The sequence below is a fragment of the Homo sapiens genome, chromosome 6, assembly GCF_000001405.40.
Source record: "Homo sapiens chromosome 6, GRCh38.p14 Primary Assembly".
Classification (NCBI taxonomy): Eukaryota; Metazoa; Chordata; class Mammalia; order Primates; family Hominidae; genus Homo; species Homo sapiens.
The window spans coordinates 128,007,757-128,028,613 of NC_000006.12; the positions used below are offsets into that span (position 1 = coordinate 128,007,757).

At 35.2% G+C, this 20,857-nt stretch overlaps 1 protein-coding gene and 1 long non-coding RNA gene across 7 annotated transcripts in view, besides 1 other annotated feature; one reads left to right on the forward strand and one right to left on the reverse strand.

Annotated features, from left to right (window-relative positions):
* PTPRK (protein tyrosine phosphatase receptor type K) overlaps positions 1 to 20,857 on the reverse strand; it is a 551,815-nt gene that overhangs the window by 38,972 nt on the left and 491,986 nt on the right. For 4 of the 6 annotated variants that reach the window (NM_002844.4, NM_001135648.3, NM_001291981.2 and 1 more), the window contains exon 14: positions 1,374 to 1,512. In NM_002844.4, coding sequence (NP_002835.2) covers positions 1,374 to 1,512 — 139 coding nt within the window. Of the gene's footprint in view, positions 1 to 289; positions 332 to 1,373; positions 1,513 to 20,857 lie in introns of all 6 variants that reach the window. The other 2 variants (NM_001291983.2, NM_001291984.2) reach the window with 2 other exon arrangements.
* Positions 14,183 to 14,684: an enhancer, noted in NCBI's record as "NANOG hESC enhancer chr6:128343084-128343585 (GRCh37/hg19 assembly coordinates)". NCBI's record gives its function as "activates a minimal SCP1, AML or CMV promoter by ChIP-STARR-seq in primed H9 embryonic stem cells {active_cell/tissue: H9 hESC(primed)}" and the evidence as "EXISTENCE:reporter gene assay evidence [ECO:0000049][PMID:30033119]".
* PTPRK-AS1 (PTPRK antisense RNA 1) overlaps positions 20,109 to 20,857 on the forward strand; it is a 58,429-nt gene continuing 57,680 nt past the window's right edge. The window contains exon 1 of the long non-coding RNA NR_125849.1: positions 20,109 to 20,167. This is a non-coding gene — a long non-coding RNA (PTPRK antisense RNA 1). The remainder of the gene's footprint in view (positions 20,168 to 20,857) is intronic.

Genomic DNA, 20,857 nt, shown 5'->3' on the forward strand with positions numbered 1-20,857 from the left:
TGAAGTGACCAGAACATTGTGAAGCAATGTTTAGTTAACTTTACTCTCTAAATTGTTTACTTAAGTCTCCAAATACAAATTTAAACTAAACAGAGACATAAGGTCTGAAGGTTACATTTGGTGATTTTTATTGATCTTTACTGGCAAATTTTTATTGCTAAAATACTTAAAACTTTTGCCTCACATATGATGTATTTTCCAACCACAGAGGGAGACAACAGCAAGAGAAAGCACTATTTGGGGAAAGCACGTATGTAGCTAATTTAACACAAAACACTATAATGCATACCTAATGTTTCTAATGCAGATGTGTCTTCTCCAACATATATATCTCCAGGGGATAATCGTAAAGAGGCAATATATTAAAATAAACTCTGATGGAATCATTAAAACATGTAGTATGAGTCTTATCTATAATGTTAATGCTTTATTTCAAGTATAAAATAACTATAATAGTAAACTAGATAATTTAATGTAATATAAGCAACATCACTTATTATATTTTTCAATAGAATTCACTGATCACAACCACTTCTATACACCAAACTATTTTAGGACTGTACTTTTGCTTATAAATATTTTTTTTAAAAGTCCTTCCAAATTGTAGCATTAACCCAAATACATGATGGGAAGGATTAGAGTGCTATATTAGTTTCCAAGACAATGCCTTACAGATTTATGGCATTTTATATAATGTACAATAGCTCATATTATAAAAACTGTGTACTTTGAAATGCTTTTCATCAGGAATATACTTTGGTCTCCAGAGCAAAGCTCAGTTTAAATTCCAGTAGGTCTCAGTATCTTCAAGTAACGTCAGAAGATGGTGATATTAGTTGATATAGTATAAAAAGTTAATGTTCAATTAAAACAATTTACTCTCTATTTTAAAAGGCTAAAATTTTTAGTCAATGAATATTTAATGTACAATTTTACTAAATAATGTTTATATTCTTCTCATATCTTATTTGTAGCCAAGAAGTAGAAAAATACAGAAAAAGAGCACAAAATAATTCCTAGACCACAGCCCAAGTATCACAATAAATCCATATTTTGCCATTGTTAATAATAACACTTCAAATATAAGATAAATGATCTCAAGTACCTTTGCATTTGAGACATTTAAATTCGGATATTAATTTCTAGGTCAACTTAACAAAAAGCATATGTTTATATCCAAAATTAAACTGCAAATAACCAAATAAGAATTTATTAGAAAGCATGTCCAATAGACTCAGGTGCTGACAACATTGTTAAAATTAAAATTTTCTTCCTGTTGTTTGTTCTAATTTAAAGGATCTTGAGAAAAACAGGTTTTTAAAACCAGTGACATAAATGGTAAGTGAGTGGGACAGGACAATATTAGGCCTTACCTCTTTTTTACAATTAATATGACAACTAGGAGAAGGAGGATGAACACCAAAATTCCAGCACTAATTCCTGCTATTTTCACCACTCTGTCTGTCTGCTTGGCGGGATCTGGGATCACTTCTGGTTCTTCTGTTGCTGCTGCTAAATGGATAAAAAAAAAAATCAGTTACTGAAAGAAGCTAATAATCACAGAAAAAAATTATTCCCAGTAATTACCTCCAAGAAACACAACTTGTTTATTGTATATTAATAAAAATAATCCCACAATGTAAATACAGAAGCATGCTAAAATACAATACGAGATTTAGGGTTGAGGTAAGGAAATCTTTCTGACAAGAGGTTTTGTTAACACAAAAAATAAAACAAACCTCCACAATAAATATCAAAGAGAATGATGAACTAGTTTTCCCCAAGTGTCCTTGAAAGTCCGAACATAAGGTTGTCTAGCAACTAGTACATTGGAAAGAGATGGGGTCAGATTTAGAGGTTTATCAGTCAATTCAGCAAATGCTTCTTGACTCAAATGCCAGGTGGTATGCTTGGTGCTTTAAGGCAGTATTAATGGTACTTGTCTGGGACAGAAGGGGTTAGGTTAAATAAATGCCTAATATAACTGTTAGAAGCATGTGTTTATGATTTAATATATATAATTTGAGATGAATAGTTGAGTTGGCACAAGAGAAGAATAGGCAAAGAAAAACAGACACACCAAGGAATATTTCAAATTCTTTTATTAAATAAAACCCAGATAATAAAGTTGGGAAACAACTTTGAGAAGATGATTATTTTTAAAAACTTCTTTGTATGCCCTAACTTCCTTTCTTTCTCAAAACCATCTGACTACTCATCATACACACAATCAATTAAAATTACCAACTTTAACCCTTTTACAAGCCCCAGTAACTCTCTGAGGACATTTTCCTTTTACCTCATTTACCTTGAAAATTGACAAGGAAAGTATTATTATCTACACTTTATCGATAAAGGAACTGAGGCTTACAAAGATAAGGATAGTTTATAAATTGCTCAAGAGCAAAGAAAAAATCTACTATATCTTCTGTCTTTTAACACAAAATTTCTCAATGTCTCCAGATCCATGGCTCCTACTGCTAAAAATTGGTGTAACAAGAGTCCAGGTGATTCTCAGGATTAGACACATTTGGGAAATTGCCTTGAAGCACCCAACACAGCACCTTGCACTTGGAGTCAAGAGATGGTGTCCACATGAACAGATACGCAAAGAAATCTCTAAACCTAACCTCATGCCTTTCCAGTGGACAATCTGTTAATCAGCTCTTAAAAATCAACCATTTGTCTACATTCTGATCCTTTCTTCTTTACCTTCTCCTCTTGGCTTCTCTATCCCCCTCCCCGCAACCCATAGTTCTATACATCCAAGTATCTGCTCCACTTTTCCCAACAGCCACAGATTCTGCCAAAAGGAGACTGTTGAGGTTAACTATTAATTTCTCAAAGTAAGAAATCTGAAAGAATAAATATATCTAATGTAAATATCATTATATAAAATGGTAATTTAAAGCTAAACTGGTGAGAAAGACATAGCTCAAATAAAAGCGTCAGAACAGTTAACTTTGTAAAACAATTCACTATAACTGTCTTAATTTATCTTATTTCAATTGCATAAAAACTTCTCCATAGACTAGATTCACTAACTATTATTCTCAAGCAGAAAAAGCAAGGCTTTGGCTGGTGTATTTTGGGAAACTAAGGGAGATTCCCTTTCTGACTTGACACTTTCCATATATTCCGGCTGTAGGGAATTTCTAACCTCATAATTATGAACAGAGATACCTTAAGGCTTTCAAATTATTTTATGGTTGAATTTACCAAAACATGTAGTAAATATGTTAGAGATCTTTTCCTTTCCAGGGCGACGTTAGAAATATATACATATATCTATATCTCTATATATGTAGATATTGAAAACAGGTGGAATATATTACAAAGTTGAATGAAAAAACCTAAAAGGAACATAGTCATTGCTTGTAACTCAAATTACATTGGTTTGCCACAGATACTACTTCAAATAGGAAGAGAAACAGAAGTTTGATGTAGAAATCTCTAGAAAAAAAGCTTTAGTCCATGCAACAAATCATCATTATTCACTAATCAAAGACTACTTTCTTCAGGTTCTATGAGACACTTGGCTTTCAGGGGCTAATGATAATGATCCCTTAGTGATTTTCTGACATATCTGAGTTATAGAATTAAATGTTTCTGAAAATTCTCTGGAAGAGCAGTTCTTGCTTAATGAGGTCAGTATTTTTCATAACAGTTTAATTAAATAAAATACATGCTATTATGGTATAATTTTCTAAATATATTTTATTATGAGTCGCATATGCTACATTTTACAAAAATCTTCAGAGCTGCTAATCCCTACCAGAAGCAGATAATGTATATGGGTACAAATATAATATATATAATGTATGTAGGTGCAAATATAAACTATCATCATGAAGTAAGAACAGCAGCTTTAATACTATTACCTAGGTTTAGTAATAAAATAACAGAACTGACATGAGGGTGATGGGTAAAACAATTTCAAACTCAGGGGATGAAGACATTTTTAAGATCTTACAAGTAATATAGATAGGTTAATGAATTCATGTAAACATATTTCCAGAAATAAAAAGCCAAATCTGAAAGTAATTTTTTTAACATAGATAGAAACTAAAACGCTTGCAGGTATACCAAGAGTACAAAGCATTGAGACTTTCATAATCTATTATGCAAATCAGAGATAATAAAGTCATAATCTATATGTCTTTGTTAAAAACTAGACTTCAATTCACATTTACCAAGTGGTTAATAAAGAAAAAAAAGCCCATTAAGTTATTTATTTGAGTTGGGTAAGGCTGCCTGTCTGTCAAGACAATTCTTGTGCCAAGAGTTGTTCACTAATCTTCAACATAATTATTAAACTTAAGTATAGAAGTCTAATCAAATTCTCCAAATACATGTGATTTGGTGGTTGTTTTCCTTGACTGTGAATTCTCCTCAAAGTCTTTAGCTGTGGCATTTATTACTATCATTACTATTACTACTATGAACAGTAGTTTTTACTAAATATGTCTGTATATATTTATTAGTTTGGATATTTTAATCACATGTATTTTTTTAAGTACTTGGCTTGCTATAACCGAGGAACATAAATATCCTATTTAAAATCATTCAAGCTTAGAAGATTCATTAAAGGAAATACAAGCAGTAGCCCCTAAGTCAGCATTTTCCATTTTCTTCAAAGAGAGCAAAAAGCTATTATAGTGGTGGTGCCCCTGAGTTCTGTTTATAATTTCTGCACATACACAAAGACAATGTGGAGCACCTTTTTCAGAAATGCTTTCCTTGGCCATAAATCTTTACCATTTTTTTTATCTGCCAAAGAGCATATAAGGAATCCCCAGTGTTCAGAAGCCAAGAGAAGCATAATTCTTTGTACAACGAGAAAAAAAACTAAGGCACAATTTTATTTTTATTGAGCAAATTTCTAGGATGCATTTTGGGGGGTAAAAATAGCTAAAGTGACTTGATCAATTGTGTCCTTGCTCCCACTACTTAAAAATGAAATAGCTTTAAAGTCACACAAATTTACCTAAAAAATTAAAACTATCTTAATAGCTGTGATTAGGCAAACTAATTCTTCTACTTTCATAATGGACATTAGAGATAGAAGCCTGTAAGTACAATGTATTAAGTAATCTTATGGTGTCTTCAGAGACATTATTGTCACTCAAATTCTGCAAATCCTCCCGGCATTTCATTAGTGCTTTCTTTCTTTTTCAGTTATAGATCTGAGAAACTGTTCCCACTCACTTCCCAATCATTCTTTAAAATCCTACCGGCAGGCTTATGTCCCCCATCCACACCAAACCACCATAACCAATGTTTCTAATGACTTGCAAGTTTCTGAATTCAATGTGTACTTTTCTAGTCTTATTTTATGTGACCTCTTAATAGCATGTGACATTCCTGTCTACTCCCTCTTTCTTGGAACACCCTTTTCCTGGGACTTCCATGAACTTGGGTACCTCCTAGTTTTCTGAGGACTCTGGTCTCTCCTTTCCAGATTTTTGTTTGCTCATCCCTTAAAAATAGGTGCCCCTTTGAGTTCCTCAGGGACCTATGCCTCTTGACACTGTGTTCCATACTTTCTGGCTTGGTGATCTTATCCATTTTCATCTCTTTAGTTACCATCCTGATAACTGATCACTCTCTAATCGATATATCTCTGACCAAAAGTTGCAACCCGAATTCCTGACCCATGGAGTCATGTGATTAATATGTCTTCACGTCAATGTATGACAGTCACCTTAAGCACACCATGTCCAACCCGAACTCATAATCTTATCTCATGCCAGTTCTTTTTCTAGTGTATCCCCTTTCAGTAAATGGCAAAACTATCCATACAGTTCTTCAAGCCAGAAACCTATGCATCATTCTTGAATCCTCCACTTTCCTTATCTCTAGGATTAACATTTATCATCCAAATTGGGATGCTTTTGAAGGAAAACAAAAACTGGAATTATCTTGGGCAAACTGGAATGCACAGTCACTTTCTCACACAATTAGTTACAAAATTACTACTTCCTAAATATTCTTTGTCATCACTTTTCCCATCCCCACTGCTACTACCTTCATTCAGATCAGTATCCTCTCAGGCAGATCACACAGCAGCCACCTATGTTAAATCTCTGAATATACTGTCTGCCTGTTCCACCTCAAAACCCACATTGTAGCACACGGTATTTTCTAGGATTTCAACTGTATCATATCACTTCACTGATTAGAGCCCTCCAATAGCTTCCCATTGCTGTTAAGGTAAAGCCCATGAAAGCAAAAACCATATTTATTTTGCTCACCATTGAATTTCTAGTAGGACCTAAAAAGGAGCAACAGAACAGAAAATATTAGTTGAATAAATGAAAGACCACCACTAAGCCTGCCTAAGCTAGGTTGCACTGGCATATAGAAAATCAGTTATCTCCTTAAAAAACACAAGGATGTCTCTGATCAGACATATCTCTTACTGTTGTGGACATTAACATAAGATGAACTTGATAACAAACATTTCTGAGTTGTCTCTGGAAATTTCAAGCCCCTTTGTTACATTCCTTTATAGAGCTAACCATTTCCACCATCTGTCACCACCTATCACCAAACCAATGTGCAAGAAAAGTCCAGTGTCACTGAAAGCACAAGGGATTGGATCAGCAAGACCCTGTTTTGATTCTTAGTTTGTTCTCTTATCTGTTGTGTGACAATGAGCAAGTGAGAATCTTTTAGAGTGAATGCCTTCATCTATAAAAAAAATTAATAACATTACCCATCTTGTGTAGCTTTTAGGAATACCAAGTAACATAATGGTGTGAAAGGTTTTTGTAAACTAAAACACATGGGATAGTAGAAATAGTAGTAGACGCTGCTGCTCTAGGTAGAGATAATCTAGATGTCAGTTCTTTGGGTCCATTACATAGAAATGAAAAACTATGAATAGGAAAAATGAAATTACTGAAAAACAGCTTTTAAAAAATCTTAGCTGCCTATTATATAAATATACAATGACAGGTTTTGTAAAGCACATGTTATTTATTACACAGGCTGCCACACTGGACACCTAAACCTTATGGGTGTCTTGAAGTATGTATTATTTAACTCAATGATCTTTTGAAGTAATTTGGCTTCCTCATTGCATGTGATCTTATGAAACTTGCCCAGTATTAGATCACTGACTAAAACAGGGTCTACCAGAGATTTTACTGGTGAGAAAAGAGAGCAGCTAAATGCCACGTGCTTTAACAGTAGTTGGAAAATAATTTATTCTCCTTTAATAATGATATGGACGTGATCCAAAGATTTCTGATGTGGAAAATAGTGCAAAAGTCTATGAAGACTTTAAACAACTAAGAAATAAAATTACAGATTAATACTGCAGATATTGAAAATTAATTTTACACTGCTTAAGGCATCTCCTTCTAGTCTTAGAGTCTCTAAATTTGTTTTGGTTTTAAAAACACAGTTCAAAATGCTGTACAAAATTCTGAAGTGACAGAAATACTTTTTAAGAAAGCAATAAAATAAGTATATTTTAGGAATGTATATAATGGTAAAAAAAGTAAAATATTATTTTGTTTCATAGTAATGAAGAAGAAATGTTTTAATGTGCATATTAATTTTTCATCAAGCTTCCCACTAAATTCATTCAATTAGGTAAAATAGAGCGTTAGTGCACTGTCTTACTTCTTAAACACAGTTGATTCTATCTGCTTAGTTCTCTCTGAAATTGGTTCTGAATTCTCCACCCCACCTTCGACTGCCTTCAAGACCCAATCTTGTTTTTTCACTAGTCCTCCTGCTTCCCATGTTGGCTACCTCAGATTTATCCTACATATTACTAGTTGGATGAGTTTTCTAAAAGGTAAATGCGAAGAAATGACTTCACTGCTTTACATTCAAGAGGAAAAGGCAAAAGTTATGACACATACGGCCTTTCACAAGCAGGTGCCAATCAACATTTTCAACCTCATCTTCTGAGACACTTTCATTCATATACTCTTATCATTAAAATCCTTTCACCATTTCTCAAATACTCTTTATTTTAGGAGTTGGCAAACTGTGGTCCCTGAGTTTTATCCATCCCATTTTGATAAAACAAAGATTGTAAATATTCAGCTTTACAAGATAATACCAAACTATTACCAATTTACATACCCACCAGCAGCGTATGCCAACCCCATTTAAATTATATCTTACCACTTTGTATTATCAGCCTTCTTGATTTTTGTCACTTCAGTAGTAGAAAATGAAATGTAATACATATTTGATTACTACTAAAATGACCTTTTGAGATACCTGAAATATCTCTACCTGTTTTTTTCTCTGAAATGCTCAGTATATAGCTTTGACTGAAATTTGTATTACAAATATCTTCTCCTATCAGACTGTATAAGGGATGAAAACCATCCTTTCAAGATGTTAAAAGTTCATGGCTAGGACCCCTATTACAAAAGACAGATTAAGAAGAGAAAAATACAAATTTATTAATATAAGTTTTACAAGTCATGGTAGACTTCATAAGGAAATGAAGAACTAATGCAACAGTTAAACCCGAGTGTTTTTATAGCAGGTTTGATGAAGGGTGACGTTATAAAGGACTATGATAGGGCGAAGAGTATGAGCTAAGTATAGTAAACTGCAGAAAACTTAGCAAGGCCTGTTTGTTCAGATTCTTCTATGTGTCCCTTATCTTCGGAAAGAAAGGTGCTTTTTATTTTCCCCCCTAGCTATAAGGAGGACACTTCTCATATGAGGGTCTTATGATCTGCTTCAAGGGAAGGTCAGAGAGATCTTCCTGTTTTTGTCACTTTCTCCAACTTTTTTCAGGTTAAAATATTCAGTATGCCAAGGTGCCATATTTTGGGGTAATGTGCCCTGAAAGCCATCAGTTGCTTTTCTTCTTACTTTACTTATGGTATGAATAACAGTTATTAATTTTAATGAAGTCAAATATATCAATCTTTTTTTTTATGGTTAGGGCCTATTGTTTAAGAAGCTCCTTCAAAGCTGAGTTTTTCAAAAATCCTCTTTTTTATTTGAAAGTTTTAAAAGAGTCCAAGATGTATAGTAGAAAGTTGTTTCAGGTCCTCCTCCGTCCCCACATACATATCCAGTTACCTGTGCATAACTTTTGAATTGATCCAATGATCTACACAGCCACTTCTGTCCTATATCAAAATTACGTTAAGTACATGAGTCACTTTCTGGATTTTCCATTTTATTCTTAGAGGAAACATATTATTCTGTGCTGACAGTAAATGATTTCAACTACTATAGTTCTGTAACATATTGTATATATTATGGAGATATTCCCAGGCCTAGTTCTTTTCTTCTTGAGCATCTTAGCTCTTTTTTATGTTTTGTTCTGGGTAACTTCTTCAGATTTAAATTCTAGCTAATAAATTATCTCTTCATTTTGCCAAATCTGCTACTAAGTCCATCCAAAGAGTTATTTTTAAATTTGAACAATTATGCTTTCCCTTCCTACAAGTTCCATTTGGTTCTTCGTAAACGGATCTTTGTTTAGTTATTCCTGATAGCATCTTGTTAATCTTTATGATTTGCACTTTATTTCTTTAGAGATTTTGTACAAGGCTATTTGTATTTGACAATCCCAATACCTGCAGTTTTTTTGAGGATTTACATCTGTTGTTTCTGCTAACTCTCACTCTTGAAAGTGAGTTACTTTCAAGAATGCTTGGTGACCTTTGATTGTGAGTTAATTGCTTTATGTTAGCCTGTGGGAACCCTGCAGGCCTAAATTGATCATGCTTTCATCTCAAAGATAATTTACATCTCCTACCAGTAGCTATGAGGTGTCTCAGACCTCAGACCACCTCTGCCAGCTCCATATGGGAGTCCCAGGCTAGGCAACACTCTTATTACCAGTCTGAAGATAAAAGTCTCAAGGGCAATATAGTTTTAGCATCCCCCTTCAGGTATTACCAACCTCTCTTTCTGCCTGTTGCTCACTGTTTTCAGCTCGCTCTCACTCTCTCTCTCTCTCCTTCTCTCTCTCTCTCTCTATATATATAATATATAAATAAATATATATACATATATAAATATTTATACATATATAAATAAATATATATGTGTATATATATATATATATATATATATATATATTTGGCAGAATAGTGAGTCCTGAGATATCTCCACCAGCCACTGTAAGTCCAGCAATGTATCCACAGATGTGTCCTATCCAGGGTAGGACTGTTCTGCAGAGGTCCTCTGAGAACCTAATTTGCCAGGCTTCCAAAATGGGAAGTGGGATCATGGGCTTTTATGTTCTTTAGTGTTCCTAACACCTTTCCCTTAACTACCCTCTCACCTCTAAATACCAGTTAATCATTTTCCCATAACCCAAATAAAAATTGTATTGCAAATATTTCTCAGCAAGTCTACAACTCACACTAGGTCTGGAGCGAATCAAGGGCAAAGATATAATCTCATTCATGTCTTTATGGCTAATGATTTTTACATAGTTACCAATACATTATAAACTTTTAATATATATTTGCCCAATGAATAGGTAACATATTAAAAATGCTCATAATTTGTCAAGGTATGCTACTTATATAAGAGCATTTATCAACTATAATATACTGCTTAAAGTTTTAAACTTTTTTTGAAACAAATACATTAATGCTAGGGTTAACTGAACTAATTTATAAAATCTAAAACATTCTTTAAGAGAAAAATTCTGCTTTTCATAGCATCAGTTGGTAAAGAGCTTCAACATCTCTGGAAAAACACTAATAGTGAACATTCTTGTCAGGTGGCCTTAATTTTTTTTTTTTTTGATAAAACAAAACCATTAATCAGAGTTTGAATTCCAGCTTTGCCACAAGTTGACCTTAGGTAAGTTAACCACTGCTCCTCACTTCTTATTGGTAAAATGGAGATTGAGTCTACCTTCTAGATTGACTCAAAGATTAAATGTATTGAAACATGTAAAGTGCTAAGGACAATATCTGGTACTTCATAAAGCCTCAGTAAGTATTAGGGAATGTATAAACAGATTCGAATAAAGTTCTCTTTCTAAATCTAGATTTCTGCACCATAAATATTATAGCATCACAGAAGCAGCATTAGATGGAGGGAAGTCTACTTTCTAAAAAAAACAGAGATAAGAATCTGTTATTGTTTATCATTTAGTACGTATTTGTTGAATTATCTGATGGGTACAAAACATTGTACTAGGCTAAAAAACCAGAAAGATGAACAAGTGTTCTTCCTTTAGAGAGCGTATAAACTAGAAGAAGAATATGGTAAGTACTCAAATGACTGTACTTATTAGCATCATACTGCAATACATACCATGGCTACTGGTATTACAGAAGAGGCACAGATAGGGCTCCTCCACAGGGGGATGAATTTGTATCTGATTTCTTGACAATCTAAAACATTTCTTAGAATCATTCAACAAAAAAAGTCCAACTCCAGTTTTCAAATAAAGAAAGACAATCTCAGGAGAGGAAAGTGGCTTTTTAATAGTTCTAGTATTAACTTCTGACATAATTAAAAATATAGCCTATGCTTTCTGACTCCCATCTGGCACTTTCACTTGGGAGAAATGTGATTAAGCTGCCTATATTAGGAGTAATGTTTAACACTGCCTTTTCAAAACATGGGGGTGAGGTGGGGGATACAATAGAGGTGTCAACCTCAACTACTACCTAACAAAAAGAAAGGAAAAGCTGGGGAGATATAAATACACATAAATTGGCAGTCAGTCACATTCTTTTGGGGACAAATAAAAGCAGACTTAAATGGATAGACAAATGAATGGAATCTGGGAGGGTTCTGAGAGGAAGCCTTAGAAGCAAAAAGAAAAAAAAAAAATACATGTTCCATGCCCCATCTTAAACACACAAAGAAAACATTTACTTTTTTGTTTCCTTCCTTTCATTAATTAAATGAATTATTTGTTGTCCCTGGCATGTACCTGGCACACTTCTAGGGTTTGAAGAATCATCACTGAACAAAACAGAGAATATCTCCACTCTCGTGCAGTTTACATCCCTGTGTTGTCTAGTAAACAATAGACAAGTAAACAAGGATCACCTGATAGTGAGGACTTCCATACTGAGAATTAAAATAGAAGGACAAGGTGGAGTGCCTTGGTGACTGTGTTAGATTTGGAGCTGAGAGAAGACCTTTCTGAAGAAGACACGGAGGTAGATGGTGTGGGTTTTTTTAAGTTGAGGAACTGTATCATCTCAAAAGCAAAAATGCTTTAAGTACCTTGTCTATGTAGTAGGTGCAAAAGGGAGTTCAGTGGTTATGGAGTTGTTTCATTGACAAATAAGACTTTTTTGCCCACCTGAAATAATAAAAATCAGAGAATAACAATAGGATGAAATTAAAATTTAATTTGGGGAAGTAAAAAAAGAAATACCCTGGAAAGTAATGAGCTGGTTCACATTTATGCCAAAGGTAAAGGAAGGAAAGGAGTGTAAATCACAAGAAACTATACCTTCCACATACTGATTATTACATATGTGACATCCAAGTAGTAATGGCCTATTAAGAGTAAAACAAGCTGAGCTGAACATTAATGGGAAATAAGAGAAAGAAGTACAAACAAACAGTGCGGAATTATATATTTAAACATAGTGTTTATAGCAAAGTAAGCTACAGAACAACTAAACCTGACCCAAAATGAAATTGTTCTGAAATGATAAATGTGGATATATGGAGACGTTGGGGGAAAAAGCTTCATGATAATGTCAGTGATATTTTTTTCCCTCCCACAAACTACAGGACCAGAAAAGTCTCTTCTTCAGGGAAAAATCTAAAATATTAAAATCCAGGTACTGTATGTAATTAAAAGGCAAATGCACTTGACATTTTTAGTGGTACAATCTCAGAATGCCAGATCTGGGACAGTCATCCAAACATGCCATTCAAAGCACAAACAGGAACAAAATCACATTTGAATATTAGAGAAAGAAATAGAAAACAAATAAAACCTTTACTAGTGCTCAAATTATAAGAACGTGATGTGATCTAAAATAGTAAAGATGGTCGACATTTTAAACCTATTCCCACTCTGCTTATTTACGAAATGAAGGGTTAAGACTAGCTGTTTTTTGGGATGCTTTTAGTTATGAATTCCATTTTCATTTTGAGTAGGTCATTTTCCACCAAGGCTTCGATAATTCCTTAATCTGGCATATCTCAGGAGAATACACAACATGGTTTAAATCACGTTAATAGAGGTTGCACTACAATTTTTAGAGGTGTTTATTTACTAAATTAGAGACTGCCTTAATATTAAACAGATGAACCAGATTTAAAAAATGATTTTAGTTGAGCTCTAGCTTTTCCAAGATAATTTAGTATAAAGTCTAAATTATTAATAAATATTTTAGAGTTTGAGATTGGTTTTTAATCCTAAAATATTTTTTGGCCTTGAGTGAATGAATGAAAAGATGGGAGCCTTATTTTTAAATGGTTCTTGGCTGTCTAAAATTTTCTAATAACTACATTTCACAATTTCTAATTCTCAAAGTATCTAACAAACACACCCAAAATACTTCAGTGGGCTATAGATTGTCCAATTCTAGATAATCAACCTTTTTATACTCAACATCTTCCCTTGTCTAAATTGGACCCTTTTGATAAGAAAGTTTCATCTCTTCAGCCGGGCGCAGTGGCTCACGCCTGTAATCCCAGCACTCTGGGAGGCCGAGGCTGGTGGATCACGAGGTCAGGAGATGGAGACCATCCTGGCTAACACGGTGAAACCCTGTCTCTACTAAAAATACAAAAAATTAGCCGGGCGTGGTGGTGGGCGCCTGTAGTCCCAGCTACTCGGGAGGGAGGCTGAGGCAGGAGAATGGTGTGAACCCGGGAGGCGGAGCTTGCAGTGAGCGGAGATTGTGCCACTGCACTCCAGCCTGGGTATCAGAGCGAGACTCCGTCTCAAAAAAAAAGAAAGAAAGTTTCATCTCTTCCACAAAGCCTTTTCCAGCCCTCAATCCCCCAAGGGACTTCGGAATTTCTCTGCACTTGTTGGCTGTGTTTCTCATTTGAACTTTAAATCACAGCCTAATAGAGGTAGGCTGGAGTTTTAGAAGGAGCAAGGCTTTCTGAAGTGACCATTCACCAATGTATAGAGTTGGGGAAGTTACATAACTTGAATCTCAGTTTCTTTGTCTATAAAATGTAGTAGTAATATTCTTTTATATATATTCTAAGAATTATATGAGATAATGTTGAAGAAAGCTTATAAAGGTTTGTTTCCTGTGTGTGTTTTCCATTTATTTCTTCTTGGAGGGTACATACCAGCGCCTATCTTGACTCTCTAGCAAAGAGTAACAATTCAGGAAATATTTGATCCCCAAATCCCTCGCTTACATTAGAGATTTGACCACCAACACTCTGTACGCCACTGTTTGGAAAACAGAGTTTTACAATGTAAATGCAAATTGGCTTTTGCTTGCTATTTGAAAAGCTAGAGTAGTTGGTATAAATTAGTTCTCAGAAGAAATTAAGTGCCTGTTAGTGGCACAGTTGGATCTCTCATACTCCTTTCTTCTTTATGGCTGCTTCAGATTCTCCTGCGACCACTTCATAAAACACTGCGTGTGTTGGTAGCGGGGCTGGAAGGTCGGGGGACAGAGGGGTGCTTGTTTTGTCTTTTTGCCATGAAAACTTTTGGTCCCTTACGTTTCTTCTCTTAAAATCTAATACTCAGCAGCCTTTAAGCAAGTGACTTCATTTTTCCTTGACCTTTAGTATATTTACTTTTTCGATTATTTTCAAATCCACTGAATCCAAGTGGTTCACATATTCCATGAGAGTTTTGAATTCCTAAAAGCCAGTTTCTATGCACCTCACTCCAAATGAGTCCAACTACTGTCAATGACCCCCAGCTTACGGAGTAAAGGAAAAATCTTCATTGATTTTGAAGGGATCGCTGAGGCACCGTCCTCCAGTATTGCCAGATCAAACAGCTGGCTGGGGGTCCTCAGTATTTCCTGGAACACCTAACCCACCTGGATGATCCAAGTTATTCCTCTTCCATCTGCCTCACTCTGAGTTTGCTCTTTCCATGGATATCACTGAATTTATATTTTATGAACATATTTCTTTCACAATCTGCCCCCAATATGTTTTCACAATTTGAGAGACTAGAGAGCTAAGATATTTAAAGGAAAATTGTGTTCTCTATCAAGTTTACACATACTTAGTAGGTTAAGATACTGGAGCCTGCCTCATCTCAGCTACTTGGGATCACTGCACGAACCAAAATGCTCAGATACGGAGATTAAAAACTTACATTACAAAATCCCATCCTCACCGCATTTTCTGCTTTAAAAATACTGAACAGTTCTCTGACCTGTAGTGAACTCAGCAGTGGAGCTGGAGCAGCCAAGAAAAATGGGGCAAAAGAAGAGTCAAACCAAAGGCTAAAATCTGTAAAACCAAGTATAATTTGAGAAACAGGATCGATAAAGCTATCCAATAAATTGTTAATAACATCACATGTGACTATTAACAGTTTTCCCCAAATCTTAGCTGACGAGTGATTTCTAATTTTCTTGAAATTAGAAACTTCAAGCTGAAGTTACAAGAATCAGGTGAAATGACAGAAATCATTTTCTACGCATAAATCACTTCTGATCTTAAATTCACAACTCCCTAAAGTCAAATTTTCTTCATCAAACCTCTCTGGATGCTAGATTGGTAGTGTCAGCCCCTCCTAACTTTCTCAACTCTCCTTCTGCCCTGGAGCTGGTGTTGCCTCCTTTGTCTTCTTAACATTCAGATTTATGTTCACCACTGAATTTGCCCCCAGCATGTTCCTTATTTTGGTGTGGTTTCCCAATAAAACTCTGCTGGGAAGTATTCTTTTAAACAATATGATTAAAACAAAAAAAACCAAACTATCATTTCTCACCTAGACTATTTTAAAACAGAACTATTCGATCTCTTATTTTATTTTATTTTTTTGAGACAGGGTCTCACTCTGTCTCCAGGGCTAGAGTGCAATGGAGCTATCTTGGCTCAGTGCAGCCTCACCCACCTGGGCTCAAGCGATCCTCCCAGCTTAGCCTCTGGAGTAGCTGGGACTATAGGGACATGCCACTATGCCTGGCTAATGTTTTCTTTCTTTCTTTTTTTTTTTTTTGGTAGAGGTGAGGTGCCTCCATGTTGTCCAGGTTTGTCTTGAACTCCTGGGTTCAAGCAATCTGCCTGCCTTGGCCTCCCAAAGTGCTGGGATTACAGGCATGAGCCACCACACCAGGCCAATCTCTTATTTTAAACTCAAATAGAGACATCTCTAGGGCAATCAGATAATTCACAAATTTTAATCTCTGTTCACTCATATTATTTTTCTTTCCCAAACAGGCATTTAACATACCCGCACAATTCAAAGCTACTTAAATATTCCAAGTCATCACAGTAACTCAATCCTTTAAGCACATAACATTTCAACCCAGATGAACACACTAAAATAATTTAGAAACAGACTAAAATAATTCCTTGTAAGAGCTCTGTAAACATCTGGACAAATCTTATTCTATCATATCACAATGTACTTTAATAACTAAGTCTATTCTAGGCACATGGCCACAACTACTTGCATTGTAACAGATGATGTTCTCAATATAAGATTATGTTGCTATGGCATCAACAAACCATGATCTTATGAATCAATTCTCTTATTTACCAGGATCATTTTTAAGGAAAATAAAAAATTACTGGTTCTCTATTACATGTTTACATTTATGATAAATGTAAATTTAGCACTAAGTATGAAAATTAGTAATTTGACATTTTCTTAGTGTACAAAATGAGACCTATGGCCAGGCATGGTGGCTCACGCCTGTAATCCCAGCACTTTGAGAGGCTGAGGCAGGCAGATCACTTGAGGTCAGGAGTTCAAGACCAGCCTGGCCAACATGGTGAAACCCCATCTCTACTAAAAATACAAAAAATTAGCTGGGCATGGTGGCAGGCACCTATAATCCCAGCTACCTGGGAGGCTGAGACAGGAGAATTGCAACCTCCTGGGAGGCAGAGGTTGCAGTGAGCCGAGATCGTGGCACTGCACTCCAGCCTGAGTAACAGAGCAAGATTCCTTTTCAAAAACAAAAACAACAACAACAACAAACCAGGCCTATATTGTAATCACTGATAATTGCTAGAATTTATCATTAGATTTTTCAGGATCATTAGATTTTTCAGCAATATAGTTTTGCAATTTATTAACATGTACCAAAAGAATGAATATGAGAGAATAGAATGTAAATTGTAATATTTACCTTTTCAACTAAGATCACACAGTACTAGTTTATTTTGCAGTACAACAAGTTTGTCTTTGACATATGTGGAATAAATTCTACAAAGCTGAAAGAATTTGCCAGTCCTTTTAAATTAAGATTATCTCAAGCTATTTCCAAATCCTCAACAAACTGAAACATGGTTTTTGCATTCTGCATGTAGGAATGTGGCTGACAACAAAGATTTGCATAAGACACTCCACTCTCTCCCTGTGAGGCCAAGTTTTGTATTCCTTCATTAGTTTGTATGAATTCATATAACGAAGTCTCTGGCTCAGACAGATTGTTTTCTCTAACTTTTGTTATATGAAGATTATTTCAGCTGAACCTGAAAGGAGACACACATTCTTATACATCTTTTGCAAAATTGTCCTACCTTATAGAGGAAGAATAAGTAAACACATTTAAATCAAGATGAAAATCAATAGTTTGTAGATTAGAAAACCCTGGTTCTATCTAGCTCAAATAAGATCAAATGCTGACTTAACAACTGCATCTAAAAGAAAAAGTCATAAAATAATTTTCTATGTCTGTATTAGTTTCTCAAGGCCACTGCAGAAAACTGCCACACACTTGATGGCTAAAAACCACACATATTTATTCTCTTACAGTTCTGGGAACTAGAGGGCCCCAAAGCAGTATCACTGGGCCAAAATCAAGGTGTCAGTAGGGTTACCCTCGCTGCTGAGGCTCTAGAAGAGAACTCATTCCTTGCCTTTTCCAGCTACCAGTGCTGCTGGCATTCCTTGACTTGGGGTTACATGACTCCAGTCTCTACCTCTGTGGTCACATTGACTTCTCCTCTGTCAAATCTTCCTCTGCTTTGCTCTTATAAGAATACATGTAACTGGATTTAGGGCCCACACTGTTAATCCAGTATAATCTACCTTGTCAAGATCCTTTACTTAATCACATTTGCAAAGACCGCTTTTCCCTAAAAGATAACATTTACAGCTTATTGGGATTAGGACCTGGTATCTTCCAGTAGCCATTATTCAGCCTACTAAAATCTATATGCTTTCCAATGTATTTTTAAACAGAATTTTTCAAGGTATAGGCTTTAAAAAATTAAGAGAATCCCAAGAGATCTAAACAGTAAGAGAGAGAGGCCTAAGTGATGATATTGAGTGGTATTGAACAAAATAAGACAAAGAAGATCATCTGCCATATTTGACAGATGTTGGTAGACAACATCTTCTCTTCATGTTCCGTTGTTTGTAATTTGTTTTTACTGCTACCAGAACCTCTTACAATTCTCTACTCACTCATGTAAATACTAGCTGCAGAAGGTCTGGCAAAACTTTCTCCTATTTGTATATGTGTAAAGTGGTCTTTCCCTTACATCAAGTTAAAGAAAAAATACAGTTGTAATAGCTACTTCCCAATAGCCAAAGGGTTGTATTTGAAAGAGGGATGAAAATCACTCCAGGTACCAAGAAAAACTACTGTGTGATCTGGGACAAGTTATCTGCTTTTTTTGAGACCCACTTTTCTCATCTTTACAATGAAATAACTAAATTCTGCTCTCTAGGCTTGTTCTGAAGATTACTGAATATACATTTAAAGTACCTAGAAGTATTTGACACATAGCAGGAACTTAATATACAATTACTGGTATTACTATTAAGGATTAAGAAAGCACTGGCATGCAACATATTATATATTTGACAAGATTACATCATCTTGAAAAAATATAAGAAGTATTCTTTTTGTATAGTACTTTAAGGAGGATATTATTCATTTTATATCATTTTCCTTCTCACTGTGATATGTAGAATATATCACACCAAAATTGTGGTTGACCCAACACTCCAACCAGTGTCCTATTTTATTCACTCTGTATTTCTTAATCTATTCAATAAATATTACTAAATCCATTTGCTGTGCTAGATGCTGAGGGAGGTGTGTGACACAGCCTGTAGTCTAGTAGGGGAGGTAGGCATTAAATAATTAACTCCAGTCAATTTCAGTGCTATATATGAAAAAGACAATTCACTCCTTTTTATGACTTGACTTACAGCTCACAGTGCCCAGAAAACTGGGATTCTTGATAGAATGCGCCACATATATCCTAATTAGCAACAATCACTAGTTTGGCCCCATAATGTACATACCTAACACACACTTTCACAGGCAAGAGAAGAAAATACCTATCATCATATTATGATCAAAGTATTTTGAAGTAAAAATACTTCCTCATTATTTCTTAGAATACTGCATACAGCAATTCCTTTAAAAGCAGACTCTACTAGCATGTTTCCCACTGAACAGAACTGTTTGTCCATTTAACCAAAAGGTATTTATTGCCCGGGAATTCATTAGTTCATTATTTGAAGAAATACGTATATTGGGCAAGAATGTAAATCAGGCTGTTTAGTTATCACATGAAAATGCATAAAACAGTACCCACATTCAAAGAGTTCAAAGAGTCCTTCAGGAAATCAGGTGCCTAAAAGTCAAACTGACCTTTAAAAAAAAAATGTTCATAGCTTCCTCTGTTAAATGAATGATCGTTTCAGAGCTTTCTAAATGCCAAACTCTTTTAATATATTATTTCAATTAGCTTTCACAAGCACTTATGAGGCTTGTTGTATGTTTTTTTTTTCCTTTGAGACAGAGTCTTGCTCTGTCACCGAGTCTGGAGTGCAGTGGAGCCATCTCAGGTTACTGCAACCTTCTCCTGGGTTCAAGCAATTCTCCTACCTCAGCCACCCGAGTAGCTGGGACTACAGGCGTGTGCCACTGTGCCTGACTAATTTTTGTTTTTAGTAGAGACGGGGTTTCACTCTGTTGGCCAAGTTGGTGCGTACTCCTGGCCTCAAGTGATCCGCCCACCTTGGCCTCCCAGAGTGCTGGGATTACAGGCATAAGCCACTGTGCCCAGCTGTATCTTCTTTTACCGATGAGGACACTGACAGGTTGGTATCACCTCTTTCCTAGTCTATATTGCAGCCACTCCCTTATTGAAGTTTCTGACTCCAAGTCCTACTCATCCTAATCTACCTGCAGCTTTTAAGGTGTCATTTTTCTAAAACTTAAATATGATCCTATCATTGTTCTTCTTAATAGCCTACAAAGATTTCAGGGAAAATGAAAATGACGAATATAAATTATACTGCACACACTATTTATAATAATATTTAGCCACTTAAAATTAAAACACATAAAAATGTGGGTAAAGCTCATGGTAAAATAGTAACTACAAATAATTACAAGTCACAATCTTTGCAATTATGAGAAATGTTTAAGTAAGCACCTGATAAAAAAAAGGAAAAAGCAAAAGTGATAACAGTTGCTTAGAATATTGTTTCAGAACACCTTTTAAGGTTACCACACTGTTTTAATTTTTAAAGTGGAAGAGAAAGTGCTTTAGCACTGTTGATAGCTGCCACCCTGCCCTCAAGATAAAGTGAATCTTGAGTCTTACAGCCCTTTCTCATATCTGTATCAACATACATTTTAGCCTAATTTCTTACTAACTCCTCAGTATATTCTTGAACACTGCATTAACTTTCATGTCTAACTGCAAACCTCTGCCCATGCTGTTACCAGTGTGGATATGGTCTCTGGTTTTTCTACCTATTTAAATGTCACTTTGTATGGAATTC